At 40.2% G+C, this 18,973-nt stretch overlaps 1 protein-coding gene across 7 annotated transcripts in view, besides 1 other annotated feature; it reads right to left on the bottom strand.

The window, feature by feature from the left end:
* PTPRG (protein tyrosine phosphatase receptor type G) overlaps positions 1-18,973 on the bottom strand; it is a 736,039-nt gene that overhangs the window by 244,825 nt on the left and 472,241 nt on the right. The window lies entirely within an intron of this gene.
* Positions 10,376-11,575: an enhancer, noted in NCBI's record as "CDK7 strongly-dependent group 2 enhancer chr3:62026884-62028083 (GRCh37/hg19 assembly coordinates)". NCBI's record gives its function as "activates an origin of replication core promoter dependent on BRD2, BRD4, P300/CBP, MED14 and CDK7 cofactors, with strong dependence on CDK7, by STARR-seq in HCT116 cells {active_cell/tissue: HCT116}" and the evidence as "EXISTENCE:reporter gene assay evidence [ECO:0000049][PMID:35650434]".

Genomic DNA, 18,973 nt, shown 5'->3' with positions numbered 1-18,973 from the left:
TAACAAGGAAATGAAAGGCTAACCAAATGTACCAGAATGTGAGCAAGAGAGTTCCAAAGACAGGCCATTTCTTTTCTTTCTTTTTTTTTTAAGAGACAGGTTCTCACTGTCACCCAGGCTGGAGTGCAGTGGTACAATCACAGCTCACTGCAGCCTGGAACTCCCAGGCTCAGGTGATCTTCCTGACTCAGCCTCCCAAGTAGCTGGGACCACAGGTGTATGCCACCATGCCTGGTTACATTTTAAATTTTTTTGTAGAGATGCAATCTCAGCTATCTTGCCCAGGCTGGTTTCGAATTCCTGGCCTCCTGATCCTCCTGCCTTGGCTTCCCAAAGCACTGGGATTACAGGCATCAGCCGCTATGCCTGGCCTTGACAGAACAGTGGTCACTGCATTTCTTTAGATCATGTACTACCCAACTGGTACAAGTTCTGTGTAGGTGGGTAAGTTCCCACTATTTTATTTACCGATAAACTACACACCTGGATTACTGTACTAACACAATATATTCATCCTAAAACAATCACAAAAGAAGAAAAAAAGTGATGCGGTGAAAATGAAAGAAACATCATTTTAAAGTATCGTGCTAATCTTTAACATTTGGAAATAATTCACAAAATATATTGCAGATGAGACTTATGGTTAATGAGAGAAGACATATATAAAAGCATATATCAAAAAAGCATAGACCAAACTGTCCTAATAATTTATAATTTCCATGCCCAGCTCCATGTCAGATCTGATTAGATCCTTTTTTTACTCAGAAGATGGGTGACAGAGACCATGTTGATTAAGCCATTTGTCTATTCTGGGAGAGGTGGTTTGGTTACAAAGGTATATTAACACACAGATTTACTTACAATAGGCATATATAAAATGCAGTTGATTGCAATATGTTGAAAGCAATTGAATTTCTGTGTACACTGGTATTCCCATTCTTTCCATTGAATACCTGCCAAATAAGACATGTAACCACCTGGCACACAGACCACATGAGGGCGCCGGCTGCAACATATACATCAAATATTAACACAGCTTTCTTTTAATTGACAAAACATAAAACTAGTATTCTAAAACCTTTCTCTGAGCCACCATGGTTCAACATTTTATATTCCACTTTGGAGAATAATTTTATCACGTATCAGAATTCACCTGGGTAGATTAAAGAAAATGTGGATTCCTAGGAACAAGATTAGAAATTTGAATAGGTCTCAAGGGGGGCCCTGGAATCTGAATTTAATATAATTATTCCAAATTAGGTACTTCATGCCTCCTAAGCTTTGAGAAACTCCAACTACGATAGAAATAAGCTGCAAATGGCTTTTATAAAGACATTTACACATGTTCAAAGCACTCTTTTCTTGCACAGTAGCTCCTCAACCTTGCTGCACAATCATGTCACTGGGAGGCTTGCTGAAAGAGCAGATTTCTGGGTTCCCATGCCAGAAATGCTGATCCAGTGTTCCAGGGCAGTTGTGCCAAATGATGCTCATAGCAACTGACTTTGAAATTAGTAACCAGAGCAATCCAAATTGAAATCAATTTGACAGTGAGACTCTTATTACTTTCTATATTTTGCTCATGGATGACACTCAATAAATATTTGTTGGATTAATGGTCCCAGTGGGAAGAATGGCAGCCTGATGAGGTAGACCAGGAAACCTGGAGACATGCCTCACTTATGCCCGAAAGTGGCTTTCTGTACTCTGTAAGAGACACCTGTTGACTTGACCGCCACTTAGTAACCAACTTCTGATTTCCTTTGGATAACAATTCTTTTCCTTCCCTTAGAAGAAAAGCTTCCTATAGAACCTTGGAGTACAGGGATGGAAATGTGATCCATTTAAACAAAGTCGGAGTATTAATAGAGAACTTTCCGGAAATATTTAGAAAGGTATTCTCTTTTCCATTGAATCTGAACCTAGAGGGATGTAGGATGGAGCTGTTTTATGTAACCCCAAGAAGACAGCTTGCTTGGGAATGAAGGTCATCCAGGAAAACAAGAGCTCACTAGAAAAACAGATTCCTGATACCTTGTCTTTATGGCTAGAAACCAATGATACCTCTGGACTTTGCAGTTATGTTAGTCACTAAATTCTCGCATTTTTCTTCAGCTAGATTGGGATAGATTAGATAGTTTACAACCAAAACAATACAATGAACAAAACTGTACCAAGCACTTGATATCCCTGTTTCTCAACTTCCTTATTTAAAAAACATGGCCACTCGGCCATCTCTCAAGCAACTTTCAAATCTAGACAGTCAAGTGTCACTTAACAACAGGGATATGTTCTGAGAAGTGCACTGTTAGGCGATTTCATTGTTGCTGAGACATCAGAGTGTACTTACATAAACCTAGATGCTATAGCCTGCTATACACCTTGGCTATGTGGTATAGCCTACTGCTCCTAGGCTACAAATCTGTAAAACTATATGACTGTATTGAATACTGTAGGCAACTGTAACATGATGGTAAGTATTTCGGTATCTAAACATATCTAGACAGAACAGGTACAGTAAAAATACAGTAATATAATCTTCTGAAACCACTGTCATATATGTGATCCACTGTTCACCAAAACATTGTTATGTGGTGTGTAACTGTATTTCTATTATTCTCCACACCAGTCAAGAGTCTCTTTATCCTATTTTCTTTCATATAATGGATTGACAGTATTGTTTTACCTATTGCACCTCTTTTAACAATTTCTCTACTCAGAGACACTATCCTTTTTCTGATACTGCTAACATCCACTAAAATATTCAACAAGCTTGATTTTCCAGTCCACTGGTAGCTTTAAGAATTTCCTTGGTGTCACTTTAATCATACATTCAATTATTTCTAATATTTCTCCAATTTAACACCATTTTCTGATGTTTTTCAAAGTCCAGCAAAAACAGCGAAGTATGAGAAAGTCTATAGAAAGCCACGTGAAAATTACTTCCTAACACTACTTTATTTCAACCAAGCAGTTTTAGTGTCCTTCAGAATGTAGCTCAACAGCTCAGTAATATCTTCCTTCCCTACTCTGAATTCCCGTTGACCTACCACGCAGGGTGAGTACTGCACAACTCGTAAGATATTATACATGTCTAAGTTTCCCCAGAAATGTTCCCATCAACATATTATGGTATTTGAACCTATGCAAGTTCAAAAACAAATTACCACCCAGCATCTTTTGCGACTTATCTAGCCATTCCACTCCAGTTGATGATACTGGGTGCAAGACAATGAAAATCCTATCCACCACTTGGAAAGTTACCGAGTAAAAGATGCATTTGATTACATGAAACAGCGAGCATCATTCAAAGCAAACTTCCATTATATGCACAATGCAAATGAAATATTTCAAATGGGAAAGACATTTTTAACAGAATAAGATTTTCAAAATTACTTCTGAATAAATCCTTCTCTACCCAGTATACCAAATGGCGAAACATCTCACTAACTTATTAGAAAATGGAGACTCCTAGAAACTAAAACCCGTTTTACCAGTGAAAAGTGGCATGCATAATCTGTGGTATAACCTTAAAACAGTGAACATGCTGCTCGCATTACACAGATCTTAAGTGGACAGGGAATAGCTTGAGTACTGAGTCAGCTGAAGGATACAAAAGAGGGACGATGAGATACGTTTCTCCCCGGCTTCTGTTTTTTTTTTTGTTTTGTTTTGTTTTTACTTTTTAGGATCTTCACCTTCTTACTCCATTTCAAGGTTATCAACTTCAAAGTTGTGTCAAAGTCATTTCTTCTATTTTATATTTCCTGACTCCATTCGCAAAATATTCAGTTACATATTGTATCCCTTTTGAAAAGGTCAGAGAAACAGGCAGCAGTCTACTTGTTCAAGCTTATCTCAAACTCCCTTTACTCAGCGCCTTTAATTAAATGAAAGTTATGTGCCTCCACTGGACCAATTTTTGAATTATACATATTCTCCAGCTTTGTTCCTCGCAGGAGGGGAAAAAGAATATGTTCACCTTTACAGATCAAATGAAATGTGATGACACAGCAATTATGTAATGCAGGAAACTTGTATGATTCTAGATAGAGAATAAAGGACCACTAGGATTTTCTGAAGACAATAGTCTGCTAATAGCACCATTTACTCCAATCTCCGTATACAAGTGTTCATGGGGACTCCCAGGCACTGAAAACAACTGGGAGATAGATTAAAAAGGTAGTAAGAAGAGATAAGTTTATATAAAAAAGGTTGCCCTTCTGGTGGATAACCCTACAATGTTTTCCTACATCCTGATTTTACAAGAGGTAAAGGTACACATAGCGATTGCAGTTTTCCACTGCCCAGACAGAAGGATTTACTTTCTATCCATTTTGTCTATACTTAGAGGTCACAAAATACCTATCTTGGGAGAAATAAGGATATACTCTAAACTGTTCTGTATTTTCTTCCACCCCAAAGACTCAACAGCAAGTAGGAGGAAAGTTATAAACTGTCAAGCAAGCAGGTTACAATACCCATTATCCACCTGGACCTGTTTTTGGCTTGTGTAGACACTGCCTCATGTGGATATATTTTCTCTAATTCTAGGAAAGAGCAACATTCATTACCTCCTTGTTTTCTTTCTTCTTTTTTTAAGTGGGCTTTTTATTATCAGTACAAAATTCATCCTCTCTTCTCCATAAAACAGCATTATTATGTTAACATGTTCTATTAAATACGAAACACTCAGAGGTAGCTTGCAGAGGTAATTGTCTGACTTTCAGCAGGTTTCCAAGAAAAGCCAGTTTAGCTTCCCAATATGAAATATTGTAATTAATGGAGCGCCAGGTTACTAATGCACATTAAAAAAATATGAGTGAAATTAGCTATGCATCCCACTGTTTTAACTGCAGACTGGAGCTAAATAACTGTGCTGGCTTTTTTGCGATCCTGTAAATGTAAACCTGAAATCTGTTTTTAAAAGGCTGGGGGAGGGAATGGTAAGGAAAGGAAGAGAAAAGCTGATTGCATTTATGAACTCAAAGGCCCCTGCTGGAATGATTTATATCTAGGACGAAGGGGTCCTACCATCCTGAGGCATGTACTATCTCTGAGGAGCTCAGCATTGACATCCAGCATTAAATGAGAGGGGAAAATGCGTATTACATAAGGTGACAGCTGAATGGGTTAGAGAACTTACATAAAACTTGAACTTCATGCAAGTCTGTAACAGTGAGCAAGGCATTCCAGGATACAATTTAAATAATAGGAAGCTGGGGCTGGGCATGGTGGCTCACGCCTGTAATCCTAGCACTTTGGGAGGCTGGGGAGGGCAGATCACCTGAGGTCAGGAGATCGACACTAACCTGGCCAACATGGCGAAACCCCATCTCTACTAAAAATACAAAAAAATTAGCCAGGCGTGGTGGTTCACGCTTGTGGTCTCAGCTACTTGGGAAGCTGAAGCATGAGAATTGCTTGAACCCGGGAGGCGGAGGTTGCAGCGAGCTGAGATCATGCCACTGCACTCCAGCCTGGGCGATAGAGCAAGACTCCATCTCAATAAAAATAAATAAATAAATAAATAAATAATAGGAAGCTCAGCAAGTGAAACAAAGAATCCAAAAAATCCCTGCATTCTAGAAGCTACTTTCAAATACAGCATAAGGCAAGAATATTGAAGTAAATGGGGTTATATCACACAGCATGTTTTAACCAGAAAGACTATGATTGAAATTTGAAATGAAGCTTGCAAACTTAGAAAATGTGGGTTCTAATTCTGGGTTCCACTTATTGCTCTGCACTAATACCCATGGGCAAATTACCCTCTCTAAGCCCCACTTGTATCTTCCATAATACAGGATGGTAATATTACCTGCTTAGCACATTGAGAGAACGGCATAATGTTCATAATTAGCTCAGTGCACAGTCTTGCATCCTGTAAGTGCCCCATAAATGGTAGTAGTTGTTACTAGCATACTTTTCTCCACGCATACTGCAGGTCTAAAACATCTTTCCACATAACAACAGTCAAAACAATCCAGATAAATAACAAACATCTACCTTTAAACTTAAGGATGTCTTCTCAAAGGCTTTTTCAATACAAAAATCTTTGTTTGGGACTAGTTCAAAGAGTAGGTGATACATGAATTCTTAAAGTCTGATTTAAAAAAAAAATCAGCACCTAATGATGAGAGACAGTAAGTCCCCCAGACTAAATGCAGGAAAGAAAGACTTTGAAATAAAATGAAGGCAGCAAGCATGCCAATGATGACTAATTGGTGGTGGCTGCTTGGCTCCCTTCTTTGAGAAGGATTAAGAAGCCCTATCAGACTTGGGAAAAAATTCTATGATCAGTTAGTGAGGTTTGGCACAGGCTCAGGAAGTGTATACATAAGGTACTTGTTATTCCTCCATTATATACTGCTATTGACCTCTCTAAAGAAAGAAAAGGTCAATGAAAGATAGACAGTCACACAGAAGGGAGAAAAACAGAAGAAATCCTGGAGGGTCCATCCCCACACACGTAACTTCAAAGCATGAATGGATGGAGTGGATGAGAAAATGCAAGGATACGCTCTGGGGGAAATGAACTGATACCACCAATCAAATCATCAACATCATGCCATTTCAGTGTTCCTCCAATTCCATTCTTGCCTAACAGGTTATAACTGGCCTTCTGTGGAAGATGTATAGTGGGGAGAGGGTGCCCTAGTAAGGTAACTAGAGCATCCCAAAGTTTGACAGTCACAGCCCTCACATAACAACCAAGAGAGGGGAATGGTGCTTTGTGCGACCACCTCACAGGGGGAAGAGAAGGGACAGAACACATCTTGGAGAGATCAACCACCTCCTATAGATGAATCTAGATCATGATGCCCCTGCTGGAGCACTGTCATTGAGACATCCTGGCTGAATGGTCACTGGGTTCTGTCTGGCCCTATCACTTTGCCTCACCTTTGCCCATGCAAAGATAACTAGTCTCACTTCAAATATGTTTATGAATTAATGCAAAGCTTGCATTACAAAAGATAAAGCTTGAGTGCCATTTTCAATGGCATACCATCAGAATTAGTGGGAAGGGGATGCTCAGAACCTTGTGTTCAGGTCATGACCTGTTAAGAGAAGACCTAACACATTTTATTCAAGGTAATGACTGGCACTGGTGACTGTTACCATTCTATGTATATTAAACTATTTTAACAAATTACTAAGGACATTTGACAGGTACAGAAAACAGCAGCATTGAGGGCAATAAGATCTACTTCCCTGTGCCATTTATAAGCTTCTGATTTGCAGAGATTTAAATCTAAGAGCTGGACAAAATGAGGTTTGACTCTACACAGTTCATGTCTGTTAAAGAACTAAAAGGGGAAAAAATGTACAGCGAGGAGAAAACTGCATTTGTTTCCTTCTCTGTTTCTTGGCTAAGGGCGGTACAGCTAACTCGACACCAGCTTTGTAGCCTCCAAGTGGGTAAATTTAAATTTCCTTCAGATAAATGTTTTCCCAAATGAGAAAATGCTATTTTTAATGAAACCAAATAGCCTTAATTGGTTGTGATGGGAAGTAAACTCAGAGATAAACACTGCATAAATAATTCAAGGCTTTCCATCTGGGGAAACTTCTTCCTGAATTGAACAGCGAATATTCAACCTAAGACGGTTTGCATCATCTGAAAAGCAACAATGGACATCTAAGCTACCTTTCAATTGCAAAGCTAAGACAAGGTAGCATTCTGAGACAACTACTATGAGTTTCATGAAATGGCTGCCCTCACCCCACACCAACACCCCTTCCCCATTCTTACAATGAATGCAAATTAAAACACTCATCCGGGTCACACTCTTTTGTCCTCTCCTCCACCACAATGCTATTTAATTTAAAATAATTACTATGCTCAGTCTTGATTAAAAGGATGGGTAAGGAATGCTCCCAAGTTTCCAGGACATACATAATAAAATCCATCAAGTATTAAGGGCTATAATAAACATACAGGACAAAGTAAATAAGAATACAGAAGGGTAATTAATTCCAATGGGTGAAAAGAGGAAGCTTAATGGAAGAGCTGGCATTTGGGCTGGGCAATGACGTATCTGAGATTAGAAGGATATTAATAATAATGACAATATGGCTGCACAATATGTTATTGATTATTTTTATTTTTATTAATAGCCACAGCTAAGATTTCAGGAGTAGTTACTGTGTGTATTAAATGCTTTAAATACAATAGCTCATTTAATCTTAAAATAATCTCATGAGGTAAGCATTCCTTAGCCATTTTTTTTCCTTTTTTTTTTGAGATACAGTCTGGCTCTGTCACCCAGGCTGGAGTGCAGTGGCATGATCTCAGCTAACTGCAACCTCTGTCTCCTGGGTTCAAGTGATTCTCCTGCCTCAGCCTCCTGAGTAGCTGGGACTACAGGCATGTGCCACCATGCCCGGCTAATTTTTGTATTTTTAGTAGAGACGGGGTTTCACCATATTGGTCAGGCTTGTCTTGAACTTCTGACCTCAGATGATCCGCCCGCCTCAGCCTCCCAAAGTGCTGGGATTACAGGCGTGAGCCACCACACCCGGCCAAGAGCCATTTTCAAAATAGAGAAACTGAGCAGAGAGAGGTTAAGTGACTTGCTCAGTAGTGCTCAGTTAGTAAAGGCCAAGGCTAAGAAGCGGCACTCTTCATCAGATTCCTGCACTCCAGCCTCTGGCTAATGCCAAGCATTTGAGATTGTGGCAGTATACAGGAAAGGTTCTGAGAAGAAGTTAAGAGAGAGTGTTCATGGCTCCAAAGAGGGTGCTGACTCCATTATCATTGGGAGCAAAAATTATCCTCCAAATACCCTACAGAGAAAATTGAAAATTTTCACCACAGTCTTTCATGTTGCTTCTAGCTCCCTGTACATGCCAACTATCTGCACTAGGCCCCTATGATATTGATAAGCTGTCCTGTTTTCTAATGGATTTCAAAACTTTCTTCCACCGACAACTTTGTTTCTTCATTCACGTATTTTCTTCCGAATTGACTAGATTATACCACCCCTTAGACAAGGGTTGTGTTTTCTACTGTTTAGGAACTCAAGAGTCTATCCTTTAACAATCATAAACCTGGCAGAAGTAAAAACAAGCAAACAAACAAACAAACCTTAAATTCACGACCAAAGCTTGTTCTTCTATACCTAAAACCAAGATGACCTAACTTCGAAGTATATGATCTATTTCTCTGAATTGCCGCATATTCAACAAAGAGCCAAAAGAGACCTTTTGCAACAGAGGATATTTTATCTGCCCTTTTAAAATAAAAATATTGCCTTCTTATTATCTTTGTTTATTCTCTTATGAGAAGGGCTCTAAACTGATCGCATAAAGGTAAAAAGAATTCTAATTGCATTATCCCAAGGCAGATATAAAAATTCTTTAATAAAATAAACATGACCACATTAAAATCATTCTGAAATAGGCAGAAAAGTCATTTAGTGATAATTGAATGTTGATTTAAAAAGTCTTGATGTGTGCAGCTGGAAAGAGAAAATAGGATATGAAAATAAACAAAATTATGTTTTAGAGAACAAAGCACTAAAGGTGTATCTATAGAGTTGATTCTACAAGATAAATATAGAAACCTAGTGGAAAAACATATTGGGCTTCTTTGTATTTGTTGAGATAATTTTATGTGATCGAATTAAACAGCACAGGAAAATGAGTTTTGCCTTTCTCATGCCTTCTGTCTGTTAAAAATGAAAATTTTAAACTGATGAACTTACCCCAACTTAGCCCAATAATCTTGACACGTCACTTAATAAAAAAAATTGTACCCTAAAGAGTACCTTCCAGTTGGAAATTTATTTTTACTACGTGTGCTTAATTGTACGTAAGTAAAAGATTTGACCCTTTTTAAGATGTGGGTCAAAGGATAAAGGTCACAACCCTAATTCCTATCCTGTGCTCCTTGATGTGTTTCTAGGACACAAACATGACATGAATTCAATGAATTCATTCAAGCAGGGAATTAATCTTTACTGAACACCCAAATGCTGAGCACACAGGGATTCGTAGGGCCTAAAGGGTTAGCATCTCAAAGTCTCACAAGAAAGACAACTGAGAAAGCAAGCACTTACAGCACAGAATTATAGAAGCTATGAAAGGAGAAGCTGCCACAGGAACACCTAGTAGAGGAACTGGAGTGGAGGTTGGAGGAGACCCTGAAGCCTTCTAGGATGAAGCAGCTAAGCTGAGACCCAAAGGAAAAGAGACAATATCAAATGGTCATGCAGGGTGGCGGTGCGGGAGGAAGAAAATTTCAGGCAAAAGAACACCATGCTTAAAAATTCATGATACAGAAAGAAAAGGTGAGACCTGGAATCAGAGATGAGTAATACCTGAAATAAGTCTGTCAGAAGATCAGAAAATCTAAATTCAGAAGGGGTTTTGGCATAACAAAGACACGCTGTAGAAATATCTGGTCTTTAAAATATGGACACTGGGACACCCAGGGACTTACTCCAAAGGCACAGGGTCACTTGGATCCTACTGGTGAAGCCCAGGTTTATTCCATACCTGTCGCTGGGCATGGCTTTATGACAGGCCAGGGCAAGGCTGGAAATACTACTGTTCACATCTCTGACTCCATAACTGGTGTGGAAGCTCCAGGTTATACTTGTGCATCTCTGAGCTTGCCCCAAATCCTAGAGCCCCAGAAGCAACTGGCGTGCCAGCAGTGCAAGATTTTCTGTGACCCTCTGAGAGGCAACATGCAAAGCAGTTAAGAGGTGAGGCAGGTCTGGGTTCTGACCTCACTTCCCCATTCCCTGGGTATAATCCTGGGTAAACTAAAGCCTGGGTGTTTAACGGATGCTTAATCATTCATTAAACAAGGATGATTATGATGCAGAATTAAGAGGCGATGAAGGTTAAATGAGATAATGCAGGCACAGCACTCAGCACTGTGTGAGTCACATGGTCATAGTCAGTACAAGGAAGCCACCAGCATTATAGTCACTATCATCACCACAACCACCCCCATCACCATCATCAAAGTCCATATCTGCACCATCATCACTATGACTGTCATCTCCATCACCACCATCACAATGATCATTACCACCGTCATATCTCGGTATATGACATCTAATAGAAGATTTTGCAGGTGGAAATGAGAAGTTCCTTTTAGTCACCACTTGAATCCTGTATAATCTCCCACAATATCAGATGTGGAAGGGGGCAGGGGTTGTGAAGAGGCCAAAAGGTGATCTCTAAGCACAATGGGAGAAATCTAAAATTCAGAATTAGGAGTGGAAGGTTGTATGTGAAGGCAGAGGTTCGGCAGAATTTCCTCACATTACAAAAAAGGAGACATTCAAGGACATGCTCAATCCTTTGTTAATTTCAGACTAAAAGTCTTGTCTTGTGTGTTTCTAGAATTCTTGGATGGTATCATCTCAACCTTTTGACAACAATCTGCTCACCCATGAAAAAAGATGCCAGTATTCTTCAAGTACTACGAGGTAAGAAACAACGTTCTGTCTCCTGGATTTATCAAATTTGGCATCCGAAAAGGCTTCTAAGTCTCCAAGTCAATCCTTCTCTGAAGCATGGCTGCAAAGAATTTACTCTGCTAGTCAATTACACACACACAAAATAGAGTAAATGTAAATGTTCAATGAACACTGAATATATTGTAAGTGCCGAGAATAGAAAACTTGAGTATGTATCAACTCCTTTAATTCTCACAACCACCACAAGCATCAGGTATTACTACCCACATTTTACAGAGGAAGAGACAGAGACACTGAATGGTGAAGTCTTGACTCAGATTCACAAAGAAAAGTGGGCAGAGCCAGGACTCAAAGTTTGGTCTGTTCATCTGCATCCCAGGGGCTTGACCTCTATGTCTGTCTCCCATGTTGCCTCCAGTGCATAGCCTAAGTCAGTCACCCAAAGATGGCAAAACTGCTGAAACTCCTCTATATATGCAGAGGCCACACCCAGGCTCAAAATAGAAATCAAAGTGTGTTCACAGCTAGCCCCGATGTCCCTGACCAGGCTCTGACAAGCTCCTATACTCCGGTGCTCTATTTTCCACTTAAAAGCTGGACTCGGCTGGGCACGGTGGCTCACACCTGTAATCCAAGCACTCTGGAAGGCCAAGGCGGACGGATCATGAGGTCAACATCCTGGCCAACATGTTGAAATCCCAACTCTACTGAAAATACAAAAAATTAGCTGGGCGTGGTGGCGCATGCCTGTAGTACCAGCTACGTGGGAGGCTGAGGCAGGAGAATCGCTTGAACCCTGGAGGTGGAGGCTGTAGTGAGCTGAGATTGCACCACTGCACTCCAGTCTGGTAACAGAGTAAGACTCTGTCTTAAAAAATAAAACTGGACTCACGTGCAACTTCGAATAAACTCTTTGAAGACAGTCGAAATTTTCTGTACTGTCTTAGAGAGCTTCAGTGGAACACAACATTACATGTCTTCATCATTACCCACAGCACATTTTCCCATAGGTGCTCACTGCCAGATAAGTACATTTCAAGTGTGCCTTTGTTACTGGCATCTTACAAGATGTTAAAACTGATATTTGGGCAGAAATTGTCTCCAATTTGTGAAACTTGGAATGTACTTTGGTATGTGAAATATAAATATGCTTAGAAAATGAAAATGCTTTCTTCTTATGTTCATTAGGAGGAGTCTTTCAAAATTTAGAGGCAACGCTCATGCTATATTTTATACACAGATGCAGGACGCAGCTATAAAAGCAACATTTTAAATATTAAAGACTTAGAGCTGGTTGTCGGCTGGAAAAGTAACTACCTATAAAAAATACTTAACACTGAAAACCATCAGAAACTAACAATTTCTTATTAAATCTATTTAATGTCAAGAATGTCTCACTAAGTGGGATAAGTTTTTAAAATATTTAACAGAGAGTCACTTGGAGGCTGAGAAGATATTTTTTATTAAACATACTTAATGATTAGCACTGCTCTGTGGCTGGGGGAAAAAAGGCAAGTGCTGTAACTGTTACAAAGCAAAGGCGCCAAGTGTTTACAGCTGTGCTGGCAACGGACAGGAATCTTTATAAAGCGTATTTAAGGCTCACCAGCTGCAGGAGTCGCTACATCGCTAATCACCCCAAATGCATTCTTAAATCAAATTTAAAACACGGTCATATTTGTTTAAATGATCTATCTATGAAATTAACTTCTCGGGATGGTAAACAATAGTTCTGTACATAGACTCCCTTCAGATCTACCAATAATTGAGAACTGAAGTTCATATTTCTGTACAAGCCCATGACTGGCCTTGAGAGAAGAAAAATGTAGAATAAACACCCATCACAATATTTGGAAAACATTCTGTGCTTTCGTGTAGTAATTACTCATCTTGTTTCCACAGTTTTATTAGAAAAAAAGATATTTTTTCCCCCTGTTGCATGAAAACACTTCTTACCAGAGATGGTAAGGACTTCCCAGAAATTTCTTACTAGCTTAAAAAAATTTTTTTTAACTTAAGTTGTATATACGTGTTAGAAGAGTAGACATACAACACTTCTCTTTAAAAAAAAAAACAAAAACAAAACCAAAAAAAAAAACCATAACTCTTGGCTAGGGGTGGTGGCTCACGCTTATAATCCTAGCACTTTGGGAGGCCAAGGCAGGCAGATCACTTAACGTCAGGAGTTCAAGAGCAGCCTAGCCAACACAGTGAAACCCCGTCCCTACTAAAAATACAAAAATTAGTCAGGCATGGTGGCATGTGCCTGTAGTTCCAGCTACTCAGGAGGCTGAAGCAAGAGAATTGCCTGAACCTGGGAGGCGGAAGTTGCAGTGAACTGAGATCATGCCACTGCACTTCAGCCTGGGTAACAGAGCAACACTCTGTCTCAAAAAATAAATCTCTCTCCGATCAGGAAAAATAACTAATGAGTACTAGGCTTAATACCTGGGTGACTAAATATACAACAGACTACCATGATCCAAGTTTAGCTATATAACAAGCCTGCACATGTACTCCTGAAGTTAAAATAAATTAAAAAATAGAGGAAGTTGGAAAAAAAAAATCTCTCTATATATATCTCCATATATGTACATAGGCTCATTTGGGTGGGCTGTAACAACTGCGGTCATTAAGAAACAAAGCATGGCCGGGCAAGGTGTCTGACACCTGTAATCCCAGCACTTTGGAAGGCCAAGTCAGGAAGATTACTTCAGCCCAGGAGTCAAGACCAGCCTAGGCAACATGCCAAAACCCTCTCTCTACAAAAATATAAAAATTAGCTGAGTGTGGTGGCATGGGCCTATGGCCCCAGCTACTGGAGAGTCTGAGGTGGGAGGATAGCTTGAGCCTGGGAGGTTGAGGCGGCAGTGAGCCAAGATTACACCACTGCACTCCAACCTGGGTGACAGAGCAAGACCCTGTCTCCAAAAAAATAAAAATAAAAATAAAGAAAAAAGCATAACTATTCATTAGATAAGCAATGATATGCTTAATCGAATGCTCTGCAAAGACCACACCAGGAGCTACAAACTCTCATTTTACTATGATTTTCCAACTTTGAAGGTGGGCCTGCATTACCAACTTAGGGAGAGATTGTGCAAACAAAAAGAACAAAAATTAGTTTCCTGATAAAAATTACACATCTTGGGATCAATCATTTCATTTAATTTCCAAAACCCTAGACCAAACTAGTTTTATCCCTATTTAGTAGGTCAGAAAATAGGCAAAGAAAGGTTAAGTAACTTGTCCAAATAATAGAGCTGGGACATGAACCAGCTCTGGCCTATTTGACTTGACACTCCTTCTGGATGTCCTTCCAACATATCAAGGCTCAGTGTTAAGGACTAAATGTTTGCCCACCCCTACTCCCCTGAAATTCGTAGATTGAAGCCCTACTTCTCAGTGTGATGATATTTGAAGATGAGACCTTTGGGAAGTAATTAGGGTTAGATGAGGTCATGACAGTGGGGCCCTCATGATGGGATTAGCACCTTTATAAGAAGAGACAGCAAAGAACTTGCTGTCTCCCCAGGAATGCACAAATAAGAGGCGAGACCTAATGAAACCTTGCCTGCATTTTGACCTGGGCCTTTCCAGCCCTCACCTCAGAACTGAGAAATTAATTTCTTATTTAAGCCATCTAGTCTACAGTATGTTGTCATGGCAGTAGGAGCAGATTAATACACTCAGCCACAGCCAAACAGTTCCTAGATGGATTTGAAATTTGACTATTGATGAAGAGTTGGATTTTGGCACACAAGAGTAGGTCCATGTAACCTGAACATCTGGACCAGAAGTTCTCAAATGGAGACGATTTTGCCCCCCCAAGGGATATTTGCTAATGCCTGCAGATATTCCAATTGTCACAACTTATAGGGGGCTGCTACCTGCTACTGGCATCTGTTGGCTAGAGGTCCGGGATGCTGCTAAACATCCTATAATGCAAAGAACACAGGGGCAGGGAGAGGTAGATTAAAGGTAAGAAATGAGGATTGGAGACATCAATTGAGACAATCAGGAAGTATGACATCAAGAGACAAGTTCCACCAACCTGGTGATCTGGCACCATGTCAATAAAAATAACTTGTTTCCATATGAGCAAATGTATCCTTATATGACCTATGGGGCCAGCCACCCTAACCCTATCACTGAACTAGCTGTGTGTGCTGGGCATCAGTAAGTTAACCACTCCTAGCTCCAGGTTCCAAATCTGTAAACTAGGGATAAAATGAGTACTTCTCTGATAAAGCCATTGGGAGATTAGATAATGCAAGCAAAGATTATTATCATTAAATAATTACTATTAGTGGCTTTTGTACATCAGGGAACACTGTGTGTGTGTGTGTGTGTGTGTGTGCGTGCGCGCGCGCACGTGCAGCACTGAGGGAGGTAGGGAAGTGGTGGCAAACGAGCCTGAGTTTTCTGAGTGCAGAGCTGTGCACAGATGTGTCATCCCACAGCCACAACAAAGAGGAATGGAGTGTGCCCTGGAGGGCCCGATGATTTGCTCATGGCCATTTAATCAGAGGATGGTACGAATTACCTAGCATTTGTCTTCTAGCTTGTTTTGAAGCACATTACCTTAGCTATGGCTTTTTTTGCTGTTTATTTACACTGCTTCCTTTTGGACCAAAATCTCAATAAAATTGCACTAGGGACATTTTTGTCTTTTTCCTTCCCAAGAAGTTGCATATCTAAGTGTACCATTAGAACTGATTCAGGTCAGTGAATCATACTAAACACCAATAAATGTGAGGCAAAAGCATGCCTAAAGCTAACACCCTTGACTTGTTTAACTCTTGAGTGGATTTCATGACAAACCATAAGCATCACACACAAATGTCACATTCTGCACTCTCTCATCCAATTCTCATTACAGTGTGGAGTGGCAGGAGAGGTGGCCACTGCTCCCAAATAATGCCAGGACTTGGACAGAAGAAAAGAGGATTCAGAAGCTGGGAAGAAAAAGAGGAATGCATTTTCAGTTTGCAATAACCCAGGACTTCATATTCTTCAATATGGATTTCTTTTTTATCACATCATCTGGAATTCCTTATGCAGTTCTGAGATATTCCAAACCAGAGTCACCTCCTTCAAGGCCTATTAAGGCCTATTAAGCTGTAACCCACAACCCCCAACAAAACTCTGGCTCAGCTTATTTCCCTTAACCTATGCTGTATTTTTCCAAAGTACTTCTCACCTTCTAACATATGCAATTATTTATGATGTTTTTGTATCTGTCTACCCCTTGCTAGAATAGAAGCTCCACAGTGGCAGGATTTTTTTTTTTTTTTTTGGTCACTGACACATTCCAAATGCACAGAGCACTGTCTGGCACATAGAAAGCACTTGGTAATATGTTGAATACATCCCTGAATTAATGCGACATCAATTCTTCACCCATAAAACCTACAGTTAAAAATTAACAGTGCTCCCACCAATTGCTGGACATAGGCCTACAACCATGTAAGGCTTAGGTATTATCCAGCATCTGGGAGAACAGCTCCTCTCAACAAAGACTGCATTTAAAACAAGGAAATTGTGCATTGGATGCACTCGCCAACTTTCCACCTAGAAGCTACAGCTCCTCCATTAGAGAATGATAAATGTCACTGTCATAATCAGAAATTTTCCGTGGTTTCCAATGTGCTTGCTTTTATGCTGAAAGCCAAAGCATTAATAAAGCAATTGAAGGAGTAGGATTATAAGTCTATGAATGTCAGTGGCAAGGTTTCACATATGTCACTTTGCAATAATAAAGGACTTCAGAGACAGGGCTAGGGACTGAGCTGAACAGGAATACTTGTATTTCTTAAATAGGAGATAGTGAAGACAGGACCAAAAGCAAATAAATGAGAAAAATGAAGGCAAATTCAATTAATCATTTCATCTACTGACACTTTAATGCATTATTGTTAGAACTACTCTGAAATGTCCCGGAAGATTATTCACACCTTCTCACCCCAACCCACCCCATTCATTTTTCAGGGCAAGAAAGTTGAACTGCAACCTTTCTGATTGGCTTTTACATTTGACAGTGCTATTCCCATTTCCAGGTGATGCTGAGGTTTTTGAAATATCAGCCCTGCCTGATGACCATGAATTCATGTTACTTTCTTCTAGCTCTGGCTTTTACTTGGGGAAGAGAAAATGGTCTCCAAATTCAGAGTCTGAAAACAGTGCCATTTTCAAGCCCCAAACAGAGACTCGGTGTTCAGATTTTAACTTTAAATTTACTGGAGGGTTTTGCCATTCCCTGATCTAGCAGAGCTAACTTGCTCAGAGGCCTGGAGGTCTGTCTTGGTGGAGTCCCCACTGTAGGACTCCTGTCCCGCCTTGGAACGTTTAATATTCCCATCCATCACCTGAATCAATACGGTGCAGTCCTCCTCCCCAAGAAGGAGCCACGGACAGGGATGGCCACATAGACTAAGTTAATTTAAAAGTAATAGAGTGAGATTGCTCCCATTACATTTATTGAACCAGCACCTCCAGCAGCTGGCTGCGGGGGTGGCCAAGTATACTGTGGAGAAAGATACAGAAAACTCATCAAAGCCATGGCTTTGATTTTATTTATTTTTTAATCATTCATCCTTGTCCGCTGCCAGCACGGACATTTAAAAAATTTCTTTTGAGTGGAGCGATGCTGACTTGGTACCGTTGTAATGCCTTTATCACCTGACTATACAAGTTTCCATCAGAACAGAGAAATGTATACCAGCTGGTAAGAATTTTAATGGATATCTACCTCTAAGTGTAACTGACGAACTAGGAAGACTACAAGAGAGAAGAGTTTGAAAGACATTCTACCAACAGACTCACACATGGCTCTGAGCAGCTTGCTGCCTTTCCAAGAGACCGCACAATCAGACCTCACGCAAGTTCTGAACTGCATCAACACCACTCACTGGACTTACTAGCTGAGTGACCCAAGGCTGGTAGCCTCACCTCTTTGTACTTCAGTTTCCTGACATGATGTGTATGAAAATAATACCAACACCGCAGGTTTCCAGTGAGAATTAAAATACAGTTGACCCTTTAATAACATGAGTTTGAACTGCTAGGGTTTGCTTTTTCCAAACAAATGCAGATTGAAAATAAAGTATTCTCAGGATGCAAAACCCATGTATATGAAGGACTGACTCTTTGTATACTTGGGTTCCACAGGGCTGACTTTGAACTTGAGTATGTGAGCATTTTGGTATATGCGGGGGTTGCAGAACCAATCCCCTGTATTAGCTTGTATTATCATTTTCTCCATAAGGATCATCAGCTGGCCGGGCTCAGTGGCTCATGCCTGTAATCCCAGCAATTTGGAAGGCCGAGGCAGGAGGATTATCTGAGGTCAGGTGTTCAAGACCAGCCTGGCCAACACGGTGAAATCCCGTCTCTACCAAAAATACAAAAATTAGCTGGGCATTAGCGGGCGCCTGTAGTCCCAGCTCAGTCCCAGGCTGAGACAAGAGAATCGCTTGAACCTGGGAGGCAGAGGTTGCAGTGAGCTGAGGTCACACCACTGCACTCCAGCC

This window comes from Homo sapiens, chromosome 3 (assembly GCF_000001405.40).
Source record: "Homo sapiens chromosome 3, GRCh38.p14 Primary Assembly".
Taxonomy (NCBI): Eukaryota; Metazoa; Chordata; class Mammalia; order Primates; family Hominidae; genus Homo; species Homo sapiens.
Note: the sequence above shows the minus strand (reverse complement) of the source record. Positions and strands in the feature narration are given on the sequence as shown.